Source organism: Homo sapiens, chromosome 6, assembly GCF_000001405.40.
Source record: "Homo sapiens chromosome 6, GRCh38.p14 Primary Assembly".
Lineage (NCBI taxonomy): Eukaryota > Metazoa > Chordata > Mammalia > Primates > Hominidae > Homo > Homo sapiens.
Window position 1 is genome coordinate 90,334,965 of NC_000006.12, and position 15,175 is coordinate 90,350,139.

The following is a 15,175-nucleotide window of genomic DNA, read 5'->3' on the forward strand; positions in this document are numbered from 1 at the left end:
TTTTACATGGCAGCAGGAAGAAGAATGTGAGCCAAGCAAAGAGGGCTCAGATGTCATAAGCGCTTACTATCAAGAGAATAGTAGCATGGGGGAAACTGCCCTCATGATTCAATTACCTTCCACTGGTCTCTCCCACTACACATGGGGATTATGGGAACTACCATTCAAGATGAGATTTGGGTGGGGACATAGACAAACCATTGTCACTTCCTAAGCAGCCCTTTCTCCAAGTTTCAAATTCAGTAAGTCTGGAGGTGGGACTTGGGGTTCCGTATTTTTTAGAAGCACCCAGCAGATTTTGGCATGTAGCAAGGACTGGTCCTCACTTCTCTTAAGAGTCTCCTGGCTCTAAAAGTTTGGTACTCTAATAGAGAGCGGAGGTGATGAAGGTGTCTATTTGATGCTGATATAGTCTGTAGAGGAAAGAAGTAATGAAAGATTTTAACATAATGCCAGTTTTGGTAAAAATGATGGCTTGTGTATAACTGTGAGCCAGATATCACTGTGAGTGCTTTACATGCATGGCCTTGTTCAATCCTCACTCAACTATTTGTTATTCACATTCTCCAGATGCGAAAACTGAATCAGAGAAAGACTAAATACCTAGCTGAGATTCAGTGCTAATATTTTTGGTAAATTGGGTAGAGGAACTGGAAAAGTGGGAAGAATCACAGGTATTTCCATGTTTTCGAGGCTGGAAGACAGAAAACCACAAGACCAATTTGGATGGTCTTGTGGTTTGTTTCTTTGCTTTGTTTTGTTTTTGTCATTATTTATGATGCTGAGGGCCTTGGGGATGATGAGTGTCTAATTAGCTATGATAGTGAGTCCCTTAAGTAGAAATGTCCTGGAAAGACTTGAAAATACTCTCCTGAAGATCAGATGAGAGGTTTGGCTGGGAATTTTGGATATGGGAACCATCAGGGAGATAAAAGATGCAATTATGAGAGTGCCAGAGCCTCCTAACCTCTAGGATAGAGTGTATAGAATTTCTTAAGAGAATCAGCTTGGGAGGGCGAGCTCCATGGGCAAAACTCCAGCATCAACTCAGCAACTAAAATTCCCAGCCACTTTTGAAGAGCTCTTCTATTATATAGTTTGGTCAGCAGCTCAGCTCCATATTTTCATCTACCAGAATGTTCAAATCAATACTCCCAGTCCTCATGATTTACTGAACCTGAATTTCTCTAACTGCTCCATTAACTCTTTGGAAAGATTTCTCCCTCTGTTAGCACTGGATCATGATTTTCCATAAAATTTGCCCTTGAGCAAGTAATTCTCTCATCATTCTCACTAAGGAAATTGTCTTACTGTTTTCTTCCCAACCTCTCCATCATTCCTTACTTCCTTATGAGCTCTATTTCATGAACCTGCATTTTACCTGCTAATTAGTGTTTTTGAATAAATACTTGCTACTGAGTTTGGAATCTATGAGGTTTTTGCTCAGGCCAGTTTGTGAGTTGCTAACTCTTTATGTCAGTTAATGTTTTTCCCAGCTTGGTTATTAAATTTAAGATCTTATTATTCCTCTGTTCGTGCAGTAGAGGCATCTTGGCACTGAAGTCTAGTGCTGTGGCCCTAGTGCCTGCATGCGCAGTCCTATGCTTATGTTCGGGATGATGATCCCGTACATGCTGGGTATAGAGGGGCCCGGTGGCCAGACAGCCAATTCTGAAAGGTGAATTCACTCACAATGCATCCTTTGTTTTAGGGAACGTTTTGTTCCTCTGATCTTCAGCTTCAGCATCATGAAAAAGCATTTGTCAAGCCCCTAATTGCCCAGAGTGCTGCATTAAGCACTCCATAAAGAGAGTTTCACAGCCACAGCACAGCTGAGCATGACAGAGACAGGCCTGGGTGTGGAGAAAACTGCTATTGCCATTACCCTCATCCACACAGTCCTGCAATTTAACAGAAAAATGATGTCTTCCAGGTATTCCCAGTGATGCTGAGATACTTGAGTTGGGGTGGGGCACATGAAAGCAGCAGGACATGCAGCAGTGGTGCTGGTCTAGACAGACACCCCCACCCCATCTCAGAGAAGAGGAAAGGGAGGTGTGGTGGTTCATTTTACGTGTCAACTTGACTGAGCCACAGGATGTCCAGAGAGCCAGTAAAACATTATTTTGGGGAGGGTCTGTAAGGGCGTACGAAGAAGAGATTAGCATTTGAATTTGTAAACTGAGTAAAGCAGATGACCTCGCCAGTGTTGGTGGGCATCATCCAATTTTGTGAGCCTCTGAATAGAACAAAAGGCAGAGGAGTGGTGGCAAATTTTTCTCTTTTTGAGCTGTGACACCCATCTCCTCCTGCCCTCAGTTATCAGTGCTCCTAGTTCTCAGGCCTTCAGATTCAGACCAGGACTGTGGCACTTCTCTGCCTCCATAATTATGTGAACCAATTCCCATAATAAAATCTCCATCTACACACACACACACGCAGGTACACACACACTATTGGTTCTGTTTCTCTGGAGAACCCTGACTAATACAAATTTTAGTACCAAGAATGTTTCTAAAGGGACAGACTTTTAAGGATGAATTTTCTAAGTTGGTTCTGTGGTTTCTGGAGTTGGCTATCTAATCTGATTACATTTAAAGATACAAATACTTTAATGTATCTATTTCCAGTAATATAGTGAGCACTGGCCAGGCATGGTGGCTCACGCCTGTAATCCCAGCACTTTGGGAGGCTGAAGCAGGTGGATCACCAGAGGTTAGGAGTTTGAGACCAGTCTGGCTAACATAGTAAACCCTGTCTTTACTAAAAATACAAAAATTAGCTGAGTGTGGTGGCGGGTGCCTGTAGTCCCAGCTACTCGGGAGGCTGAGGCATAAGAATTGTTTGAATCTGGGAGGTAGAGGTTGCAGTGAGCTGAGATGGCACCACTGCACTCCAGCCTGGGTGACAGAATAAGACTCCTTCTGAAAAAAAAAAAAAAAAAAAAAAGTGAGCACTGATAATCCATAGCATGTGAACTGTTTAGAGAGGTAAATAAAATATCTGCATCGGATACTCCTAATCAATCTTAAGAAGCCAGGAACTGAGTGACTCTGTATATGATATTTTTGAACATTTTTTTGAAAATTAGAGAATATAATGATGTTGGGTGGTTGCTCCCAGTGTCACTGTACAAAGTGGTGAAAGAAAAAAAAAATGAGCTTAGGGATTTGAATTTTCAGCTGAAGCACTGCATAAATGACCTAAGAGCTTCCAGGTGTGCCCTGAAGGAGACTTACCTCCTATAGCTGTAGGGCTGAAATGGCTGGAAATCAAATGCAGAAACTCATCCTGTGATTGGCTGAGCTACAATGCAAGCAGAACTCCCAGGCTCATAGGATGTCTACTATTAAAGTGAAGACATTGATTAGGGAAAAAAATAGGATCCTGTGGGTTGATTGGGGATGTGTGGGAAGACTCAGATGAAACTAAGGACATTGAACCCCTAAATTCTGATGAGTCTTTCCTAGTGGAAGAAGTCACCCCACCCCAAGTAAAATTGGTTCCTACCTTTAGCCAAAACTACTGACCGTGGACATACAGAATGCCTTATCCATCATCATGGTATTCTACACAGCAATGCTTCCTGTCAAGGAACTCTCTTTATGGTAAAAGAAGTGTGGCAATAGGCTCATGCTTATGGAATTTGCTGGCCTTACAACATTCCCTACCATTCTGAAACAGCTGGCTTGACAGAATGGTGAAATGGCATTTTGAAAATTCAATTACAGCACCAGATAGGTGGCAGTACCTTGCAGGGTGGGAGCAAGATTCTCCAGAAGGCTAATATGCTCTGAATCAGTGTCAATATGTGATGCTATTTCTCCAATAGTCAGGATTCATAGTTTCAGGAATCAAGGGGGTAGAAATGGGAATGACACCACTCATTATTACCCCCAGAAACCCAATAGCAAAAGTCTTGCTTCCTATTCCTGAGATGTTATGTTCCGCTAGCCTAGTGGTCTTAGTTCCAGAGGGAGGAATGCTTCTGGCAGGAGATTCAACAATAATTCTATTGAACTGGAAATTAAGACTCTACCTGGCCACTTTGGGGCTCCTCCATGCCTCTGAGTCAACAGGCAAAAAAAAAAAAAAAAAAAAGAGTTACAGTGTTGTTGGGGTGATCGATCCTGACTACCAAGGGGAGAAATTTTCCTACTGCTCCACCACAGAAGTATGAAAGAGTATGTCTGGAATACAGGAGATCTCTTAGGGTGTCTCTTGTTATTACCATGGCCCTGTGATTACATTCAGTGGAAAATGACAACAACCGAATCCAGGCAAGAACATTAATAGTCCAGATCTTTCAGAAATGAAGGTTTGGGTCATCCCACCAGTTAAAGAACCATGACCACCTATGGTTCTTGCTTATGGCAAAGGGAATACAGAATGCATACTAGAAGAAAGTAGTTATAAATACCAGCTGCAACCACATGACCAGTTATAGAAATGAGGAATATAATTGTCATGGATATTCCCTCCTTATTTTGTTATGAATACATTTGTGTGTATATATACATATAATAAGCAAATATCTTTGTTTTCTTTCCTCTTATTTCCTTATCTTGTAACATAAGATGACTTTATACCAATGAATATTTAAGTATTGTTAATTTTACATCATGGTATTTAAGTTATAGGATATCAAGAGAGGAGTAAACATCACTCAAGGATTTTACCTCCTCTTCTGGGGAAGGGATTAGTGCATTTTTGGTTGCATGCAGGACAGTTGTATCATGTTAGGTGGAGTTATTACCTTGTTATTGTCTTTATTTGGAGATTAAGTACAGTTTAAGGAGAAGCATATAGGTGTCAAGTTGACAGGGGTGGAGTTGTGATAATAAATTTTATGTGTCAACTTGCCTGTGCTAAGGGATGCCCAAATAGCTAGCACAACATCGTTTCTGCATGTGTCTATCAGTGTGTTTGCAGAAGAGATTAGCATTTGAATTTGTGCACTGGTAAAGCAGATGACCCTTCCCAGTGCGGATGGACATCATCTAATCTGCTGAGGACCTGAACAGAACAAGAAGGCAAAGGACTGGAAATTTGCCCTTTCTTTTTGAGCTGGGACACCAATCCCTTCCTGCCCTTAGACATCAACTCACTTGGTTCTCAGGCCTCCACAATTGGGTTGAATTATACTGTTGGCTTTCCTGGTTCTCCAGATTGCAGATGGTAGATTATGGAAATTAATAATAGGGCTCCATAATTGCGTGAGCAAATCCCCATAGTAAATCAATCTCTCTCTTTCTCTCTCTTTAATATATATCTGATATGGTTTGGATATTTATCCTCTTCAAATATTATGTTGAAATGTGATCCCAATGTTGGAGATGGGGCCTGATGGGAGGTATATGGGTCATGGGGGAGAATTTCTCATGAATGGCTTGGTGCCCTCTGCAGGGTAACGAGCGAGTTCTTGCTCTGTTAGTTCAAGTGAAAGCTGGGTATTTAAAGCTTGTCCAGCCATGCACCTCCTCCTCTCTCTTGCTGTCTCTCTTACCATGTGACATGTCAGCTCCTCTTCCCTTCCGCCATAACTAAAAGCTTCCTGAGGCCTCACCAGAAGCTGAGCAGATGCCAGTGCCATGCTTTTACGCCTGCAGAACCATGAGCCAAAATAAACCTCGTTTCTTTATCCAGCCTCAAGTATTCCTTTATTCCTTTACGCAAAACAGATGAACACAATATCCTATTGGTTCTGTTTCTCTGAAGAAGCCTGATTAATATAGGAAACAAGCTATTTGAGTCTCAGGAAGCCTGAGGGACATGTTCCTGAGAGGAAACAACACCAACAGCAAGTGGGACACCTCTTCAACAGTTTGCCAGAGAGGAAACAAATGTAGAAGTTCCTAGAAGTCACAGCATTCAGATTAATGTCAGCATCGAGTTCTTGCCTATAATTCAGGTTGGGATGATATAAACACATAAATAAGGGCATAACACATTATCATATGAAAAGCATAGACAAGAAGTAGACACACATGAGGGGCAAGGGAGGTTTTTCATGTGTGTGCATGTGTGATATGTGTGTGTAAAGGAAGGTACACAGTTGATAGGGTATTGAGATTAAATAGGCCAATTCTACAAAAGGCTTAGAACAGTGCCTGGAACATAGTGAACATGATATAAGAGCTTGTTAAACAAACAAACAAACAAATGAATAAATAAATGTAGACTCGAGTTCAAGTTAGGAAAGCTGGGGAAACACCAACATGAGTATATTTCTCCTTCTTCTCATACCAGATTGACTGGGGCAGCCCTGAAGAAACAGTTCAGGATTAGAGAAGGTTCAGGTGCTTAGAATATTCCTGAAAGTCTGTCCCAGAGCAGCCTGATACAGGCACATGATTGATTCATCTCCGGGTAGCTGCTCTGTGTTGTATGCCACAAAGAAATACAGGTAACTCTCTCAGAACAATTTTTTAAGGGTAGAGGGAGTGGAGAGATGCCCATTATGTTTGCTTTGCACCAAGCACTGGAAACTTAATTCAAAAGGTAGGGTCCATTGGGTCTAGGTATGTGCAGATAGTGATAACCTAAAATGGTTCTTTAACCTAGGATGTTTTTGAAGACCAAATAATTTGTTGAAAATGCTTCAACTTGCTCTCCATCCTAAGATTGCAAAAAGGCATAGATTTTGATGTCAGGCCACAGTCTCTCCTCTTGCAGGAGCTACTGGAAGCCTCAGTCATAGTCGGACCCACAGAAAGAGAGCTAGTCCTGTCTGATACTTGGGTGTGTTTGTGTTGTTCTTGTCCTCAGCTTGTCTTTCTGTGTAGACGTTTGCTTCTTGATGCCTCCTCATCACTGCCGGAGAGTTCTTGATCTTTGCGTGCTAATGGTGGGCACAGGAACAAGATGCTTTAGCTCTCTGAATTTCTAACCTGAGCCTTCTTAGTGTGTGGTTTCTCTGGTGTCTATTCTTTTCCATACTGTGGCCATGGGAGGAAAGTTTTAAAGCCCTTTAGGAGCTACTTGGAGACAGATTTCTGGGTTGGGCAGCCCTGAAATACTTGTATTGATGGGAAACATTCTCCAAGCAACAGTTTAGGAAATTAAATTTACTACTCAGTGTCCAATGATAGAGATCTTATAGGATCTGAAGCTTTCCTCTGATGGTTGAGAGCTCCCCTGGGGTTCACAGGGATTCCTGATGTAGAATTCCAGTGATCTGGGGAAAGTTTAAAAGGTCATGCCTCATCCAGGACCACAGAATCTGTGGTTCTTGTCCAGCCATGTGGCACATACTCCACAACATCTGTCAAGTTCATTGACTGGGCCAGGTGCAGTGGCTCACACCTGTAATCCCAGCACTTTGGGAAGCCGAGGTGGGTGGATCACATGAGGTCAGGAGTTTGAGACCAGCCTGGCCAACATGGTGAAACCCCATCTCTACTAAAAATACAAAAATTAGCGGAGTGTGGTGGTGCACGCCTGTAATCCCAGCTACTCAGGAGGCTGAGGGAGGAGAATCCCTTGAACCTGGGAGGTGGAGTTTGCAGTGAGCTAAGATTGTGCCATTGCACTCCATCCTGAATGAGAAAGTGAGACTCCTTCTCAAAACAAATGAACAACAACAAAAAATAAAAATAAAAAAAGTTCATTAACTGGTTTGTTTTTGCTCTCATGCAAACATGAGGTTTGGAAGGGCAGAGGGGTGTGTGTGTGTGAGAGAGAGAGCGAGAAAGAGAGAGAGAGAGAGAGAGAGAGAGAGAGAGATGTGTTACCATAGGAAGATTCTCCAATTTTCTTTCTTCTTTTTTTTTTTTTTTTGAGATGGAGTCTCGCTCTGTCGCCCAGGCTGGAGTGCAGTGGCACTATCTCAGCTCACTGCAAGCTCTACCTCCCGGGTTCATGCCATTCTCCTGCTCAGCCTCCTGAGTAGCTGGGACTACAGGCGCCCGCCACCATGCCTGGCTAATTTTTTATACTTTTAGTAGAGACAGGGTTTCACCGTGTTAGCCAGGATGGTCTTGATCTCCTGACCTCGTGATCCACCCGCCTCGGCCTCCCAAAGTGCTGTGATTACAGGCATAAGCCACCGCGCCCGGCCGATTCTCCAATTTTCTAATTCTTAATTCCTTCTTCTGTGCCCAGCTGGATACCAGAACCCTCTTTTCTGATATCACCAATCTATATATGTAACTTTTTCTGGCTTGAAATTTACATTCCTGAAGCTTTCCCTGATTAATATTTTTGAATTTAAAAATTTAGTCAACATCCTTTTTGGTATTTTAAAATTTCCTACGTATTGGATAGTATGATGTTTATCACACAACAAGCATTCAATGAGTACACATGACCCAAGTAATGATAGATATGCCCAATAAATACTATTGATAACACCAGTAAGCCATCAAATTAAACAAGCAATTTCGTGAGCAAAATTATGTTATCCAAGGAATTACAGGGAAAGGGAACTATTAGCTATATCAGTTCTTTTAAATTGCAGATATGTAGAAAGTAGTATCTTAATAAGGTACTTGCCTAGAAATAGATATTGGCAGGGATATCACAATGATTTTGTAGAAAAATACCATAGCTTCTGCTAAATCTTTTCATTGGAATCTGTTCTCATTCTCTAGTATGCAATGTGTATCTCTTTTAAGCTTTCAATTACCTGAAAGAAAGCTTCACATCCAGGGTATGAAAGCGTTTGCTAACAAAGATTGCTTGAGAATAAATGTGAGATAAGAAAATGTGCTGGGAAGTCCACGATTCACCTTCACAAAGGGCTAGTTTTAGTGGACCTCCAGGAGGAGCTGTGATGGTAATTGCTCTGAGGACATAACCCGTGGCTTAATCATATCTGGAGCACTGGCACCTAGCCCAAGGCCATGCTCAGAGAGAGCACTCTGATGGTTTGGAGTAAATGAAGGCATATTTTCATTAGCTTGGATATCATCTTTTTGGTGCCTTGAGTGTGGCATAGAATACGATCTTGTTTATAACAGAAAAGAATGATAAAGCCTCACGATAGATTTTGTGAAGTCATTTTTTAAAATGCCATAATTTAGCTGTGTAAGTGATAACAATTTTAAATTTGTGGGGGTTTTTTTTGGTAAAAATAGCATACCAATAATCGTACTAGTACATATATAGCACTTATGTGTCAGGTACTTCTTTTAACAAAATTAATTCTAAAAACTAGCATAGCAATAATAGTACTTGCTTTTAAAAAAATATATCAGACACTGCTTTTAAATTGACTGTTTCTAACAATAGCCCTATGACTAGATAGTCCCATTTTATAGTTGGGGAAGCTGAGACACAGAGGTGGTGATTTTTCCATAGCTAAGTGGCAGAGGTAGGATTTGAAGTTGGAAAATCTAGCTCAAGAATCCATGCTATTAGCGAGTAATTTCTATAGCCTCACATGCTGGTGAGACTCTATCTATACCATTGAGTGAAGACAGGAACTGGTTTCATACTCAGACATAAAATGAATGGTTACTGGTCTATCAATTAGGTACATCAACAGTATGACAATAACTTGGAATGGATCGGGGGCACCCAAAGGTCTTGTTAAAGTCATTTTTAAACATCTGAAGAGCATCAAAAAGAGAAAGGATGGGAGGGAGCAGGGATGGAGATACACTTTGAAGTAAGATTCATATGAACTTTCATAACTCTTCGGGTAAGGGTAATCTGCCAGACCATTAATGTAGGACAATGTACATTATTTTTTCTTGGCTGAAGATGAAAATCCTAGCAGATGGACAAAGAAGAATTGAGCATTCAGGAAAAGCTTAAATGGTGATCCTCTTGGGATATAAGAAGCTGGACACATTGCGCATTATAGATAGGTGTGATAAAAATCACAGCATACACCTGTGAACTTTGAATTAACCAGGAAGCTAATACACGTTCTTGCACTGATAAATTTCTGAGCTAAGATAATTAGCAAGAAGGGACAAAGAGACAACTAGAAATGCCACTCTAAGATTTCACTGAGTGAAAAAAGATTCCTTCCTTAAATCTTACAAGAAAAATACAGTTTTGATTAAAATTAAGGTAAGATTTTTTGTAACATATTTCAGTAAGTTTTATACAAGTCTTACAAGCAATGAGTATTTATAAAACTTTAAAGAAAACCTAGAAGGATTTTAATCCTGCAAAGCTGTGTATAGATAAATTTTAGCATATCTTATCATTTAATGGGGGGACTGCAATTATTCTAGATGTTATTTTTGATCTTTTAATTCCTCACATTGTTTCTGATACTACTTCTTTAATTTTCTGTTCAATAGCCATGAGCCTTTTTGAAATAATAATATTGTCGACCCCCAGTTGTATGTGCCCAAGGAGATGGCAAACTTGAGAAACAAGAATAATCCTTTCAGCTGGTTTAAAGCTGAGCCCTCACTCTTGGAATTAAGAAACTGACAAAGGATGCAAGTTCTTGGTTTAAGGAGCCAATGGTATGATGTGTTTCTTGTTGGGCTTGGAGTATAGGTGCAGGGTATTGTGTGGGGGTTTCTTGCTCTGGTCACAGATTCTACTGAATCTCAAATACCAGTTAGTTTGGGGTATGCTCCTGTCCCTGACAGTGTGCCAGTGGAATGACAAGAATATTATTGTGAAGAGCACATTTTCTTCATGGAGTTTCTTATTTCACTGATACACAAAACCCCACAATGGTAGCTCTGACCTGGTGTGGTCAATGCTGAATGTGCCCCAGCTCCTCATAGCCCCTGCTTCAGGATGGAGGTGCTCATTCCCTCAGCTGCTGGGAGTGATGGCTGACAGCTTGTAGTGGAGTAATCCCTCCTGGTAATTGCCCTTGGCTGAAGAGAGGCATTGGGCCCCTTTCTGGGGGTAGCCTGCACTCGATGACTGACATATGAGAACATAAAGACCCTGCCTCTTAATTTGGATTGGAACAACTCTGCAGGGTCATCTCAGCTTCAGAGCATCCCGTGGGGGTCAGTTGAGGCTTTTGTGATGCCTGAATGTAGTCCAGCTTCTCCTTCTGTCCAATCCTGTTTCCTCTACTCTCCCATAGGTGTGGTTCCCAGGGACCCTCCCAAATACACTTCCAATCTGTTTCTGGAGGACCTGACCTGTAACTCCTGACAATATGTTCTGAATGCTGAAGGATGGAGATACACTTTGGAGTAAGATTCATATGAACTTTCATAAATTCTTGGGGTAAGGGTAATATATTTTTTACTTACTTAAACTCTTTCCCCAGTCCCTTCCTTCCTCAAGTTCCCTAGTCTTAATTGATTCCTAAATTGTACACATAGGCTTTAAAAATTTGACATTCTTTTTTTCTGATGGAAGATATAATTCGTCTTTAATGTAAAAAATTCAAACGTGAAGTATATACATATACATGCTTGAGTGCACATCAAATAGCCATCATTTACTTGAAGGTCTAATGTAGCCTCTGCATCCTCACACAGCTCTGAACATTGAATAGCTCTGCTCTGAGCTATTCAAAGGTCTGTGTATGACCTTTACACCTGGAATAATACTTCTGAAGATAGATGGGCATTGACAATAAGAATAATAGTACTATATGGAATTAGTTTACAAAGCACTTTCAACCCATTATATTGATTTATTTCACCGCATCCTTGAGAAAGCCTGGCCATGTTAGCCCTATTTAATATATGGGGAGTAACTTGCTGAAGTGGGTTATAGGAAATTTCTTCTGACAAGCTCCAATTTCTGTTACCAGCCAATGGACTCAAGCCCCTCATTCAAAGAAAACACCAGAAGAGACTTGGTGTTTTGTGAAATGGCACATTCCAAAATCTCTGTCACTGAGAAAAGGATGTAAGCTCAGGATCAAAGCATCGTCTTCAAAGAAGGGTAAGGTACTTGTTAAATAACTCCTGGCAATTGCTTAAGCACCAGGCATTGTAATTTCAGATAGTAGGAACAGAACTAAAAATAGAGAAGTGGATAGGGACAGGACCAGAGACATCATTGTCACTCAAACTTGAATGTCATTTTTGACAGCATTCGAGCAATTGATTCTTGATTCTCCACATTAGGAATTTAGTAGTCACGTTTTGCTGTGACAGCCCTAGGAGAAGAGAAGGGGCAGGACCCTGGGAAGAGTATAAAGAATGGAGGGTGAGAATTATTATCAGCCTGTGGTGCCTCTTTCTAGTCACGGTTCCTTTGATGGAAAAAAAAGGGCGGCGGGGTGGGGGATGAGAAGGAGCAGAAAGCTATTCAAGCTAGCTCCAATTTCCTGAAATGTTAAAGAGAAATCTCATGGACAGGATATGCAATCAGTCCCTGTGAAAGATTGGACCTGAGAACCAGAAAGCCACCAGGAGCTAAGCCATTCTCTTTATCTTCAGGAGCTACAGAGATCTCTGTCTCTGAAAATCTTCATCCTTTCTCCTAAACCTGCTTCCTCTGCATACTCATCTTGCTCACTTCCTCCCACGCAGCTCCCAGTCCACCTTAGTCTCATGATTTCCAAGCTCCAGTAGTCATTGGCAATTGATGACAGTCTCTGTGTCTCCTGGGCAAATTGTTATAAGGAGAAGACTGATCAGTCCAGATCACGTGTTGCTTCACATTGGAGCAGCTGCTTTGGGGTTAGATGTCTAACCCTGGTACACTCAGCCATGGTTGGAGGAGATGGGGAGGGTGGTTATGGGGTAGGGAGTGATGCTCTTTCTAGGTAACCTGGCAGACTAGATTCTCCAGAAGGGGCCATGAGTAGGGCAGGCAAGGAGACCTGTTTATTATATCCTTGCTGACCCATGTTTCCATCCTGTTCTGAATCATGTTCCATGAGCTAGTCTAGTATATAGAAGTTGGGTAATCATAGCAGGGAGTCATTGTGTAGAGTGTGGCATCTGCTCTAAATGGGTTTATCATCTGGTTGATGCAATAAGGCACACGCCCAAGAAAAGGAAAACCTATCAGGCAGTGCCTACTGAGCATCAGATGACTGGCATGGGCATTATGGGTTTTAAACATTTAGAGGAGGAGAGATCATAGTGGCTAAGCGCAAGAAGTATTGCCCAAGAGAGGTGGGGATGGACATGGGTCTTGAGGGGTGGGAAGGATTTGGAGAGAAAGAGGGGAGGAGAGGAGAATAGGAATACATGACACATGCCCAGGGCACAGTGAATAGACCAAACTATTTTAAGCATAAGCTGTGTGTTGGAAAGTACAGAAAGGTATGTTAGGGAAAATAGGTAGAAATGAAATTGTGTAGGACTTTGAATACCAAACTAAATAGTTTGGATTTTATTCTGAACATTGTGTGAATGGTGCTTGCTAAGGGCATGGCATGGTCAGGGCCATGCTCTAGGATCACCCTCTGCAGTGGAGGAGGCCAGAGATTATGGGGAGACCATTACAATGTGACCAGTATCATGGGCAATAGGCTCGAATATGAGGAGATAAGGTCAAAAGGCTTTGGAAAGAAAAGGAAATCTCTGTTATTTAAAGTCTCGGTTGCCGGTTGACTGTGTCCAGGGAAGCAACTGCCAGAAGCTGTGGTCTTTAGCTACCTGCAACCCAAATGTCTCTGGCTGCTGCAGCCTGTGAGTGAAAATACCACCACATAAAAATTAGCACCCAGATATTAAGAACTCTGAGCTCCCATGTACACATAGTCTCCATAGAGTTCTTCTTTTGACCAGAGAGCTTGGATGAAAAATCTAGTAAATTGGCAGAAAAGGAGTCTATCAGAAGCATATCTAATTGCTCATACATGGATGGGAAGTGTGGGAAAACTGGCTGGGAAAATAACAGCCAAGTTCATGTCATCCATCCTTCCCAATGAACCCTTGACTCCACTGTCATAGCCATGAATAAACTCCTTCCAGAGCCAAAGTCTTACGTGGGCATCTGATTGACTGAGTCTAGGTCATCTTCGTAAGCCCTGGATTGTAGTGAATTACAGGAGGGAAATCAAGGTTGGGTGTCCTGGCTCATGCCTGTAATCCCAGCACTTTGGGAGGCTACAGAAGGAGGATCCGTTGAGCCCAGGAGTTCAAGACCAGCTTGGGCAATGTAGTGAGACCTCATCACCATTTTAAAAATTAGCCAAGTGAGGCAGTGTGCACCTGTACACCTAGCTACTTATAAGGCTGAGGTGGGAGAGGATTGCTTGAGCCCAGGAGTTTGAGGGTGCAGTGAGCTTTGATAGCACCACTGCATTCAAGACTGGGCAGCAGAGCAAGACACTGTCTCTAAAAGAAAATAAATAAATAAATGGGGGACATTTTAACTCTTTTATTGTTTAACTCAGCCCCTTTTAACTTTTACAGAGGGACAGATGGGGCTGTGTCTCCCACTAGGACCTACACTCTTGGTGATATTCTGAATAAGGAAGAGCGGCCAGATGCTGGACAGTGAAGGCAAACTTCCATCATGCTTCTTCCTCATCTTTCAAAGAGTCCAAGACAGGGACTCATATGCCTGCACTGTTATTCTGAGTTAGCCTCTTGCTCTCATTGCTGGTTAAGCTGGAGTCCTTAGTTCTGGCTTTGATAGTGAGCTCATCCTTCATATTCAACACATTACCAAGTTCAACCATCAACATTTACTTCCACCACAGTTCACTTCTGCCCTTCTCTATTTCCATACCCCTAGTCCAGAAGTTCTCAAGCTTTAGGGTACATGATAATCAACTGGAGGAGTTGTTAATATACCTATCTCTGGCTCTCATCCTCAGAGTTTCTTTCTTAAAACTTATTTTTAGAGACAAGGTCTGGCTCTGTCTCTAAAAATAAGGCTAGAGTGCATTTGCAAGATCACGGATCACTGCCACCTTGACCTCCCAGAGTAAAGCAATCCTCCTGTCTCAGCCTCCTGAGTAGCTGGGACTACAGGTGTGAACCATCACACTTATTTTTGTCTAGATGGGGTCTCAGTATGTTGCCCAGGCTGGTCTTGAACTCTTGGGCTCAAGTGATCCTCCTGCCTTGGCTTCCTAAAGTTTTGGGATTACAGGTGCCAGCCATTGTGCCTGGTCTCTCTCAGAGTTTCTGATTCAGTGGGTCTGGGGTAGGGCCTGAGAATTTGCGTTTATAATAAGTTGCTGGATGCTGCTGCTGCTGGTCCAGGGGCCCCACTTTGAGAACCACTTTCTTGGTCTGAGCCATCATCATCACTTATTTGGACTATCACTTTGGCTTCCTAACTAATCTACTTCCACTTTTACCTGCATTCTCCTTACAGCAGC

At 42.0% G+C, this 15,175-nt stretch overlaps 1 long non-coding RNA gene across 2 annotated transcripts in view; it reads left to right on the forward strand.

Annotated features, from left to right (window-relative positions):
• Positions 1 to 15,175, forward strand: part of LOC105377891 (uncharacterized) — a 60,354-nt gene that overhangs the window by 37,726 nt on the left and 7,453 nt on the right. For both annotated transcript variants that reach the window (XR_942778.4, XR_007059677.1), the window contains 3 exons: positions 10,257 to 10,427; positions 11,012 to 11,157; positions 11,693 to 11,826. This is a non-coding gene — a long non-coding RNA (uncharacterized LOC105377891). The remainder of the gene's footprint in view (positions 1 to 10,256; positions 10,428 to 11,011; positions 11,158 to 11,692; positions 11,827 to 15,175) is intronic.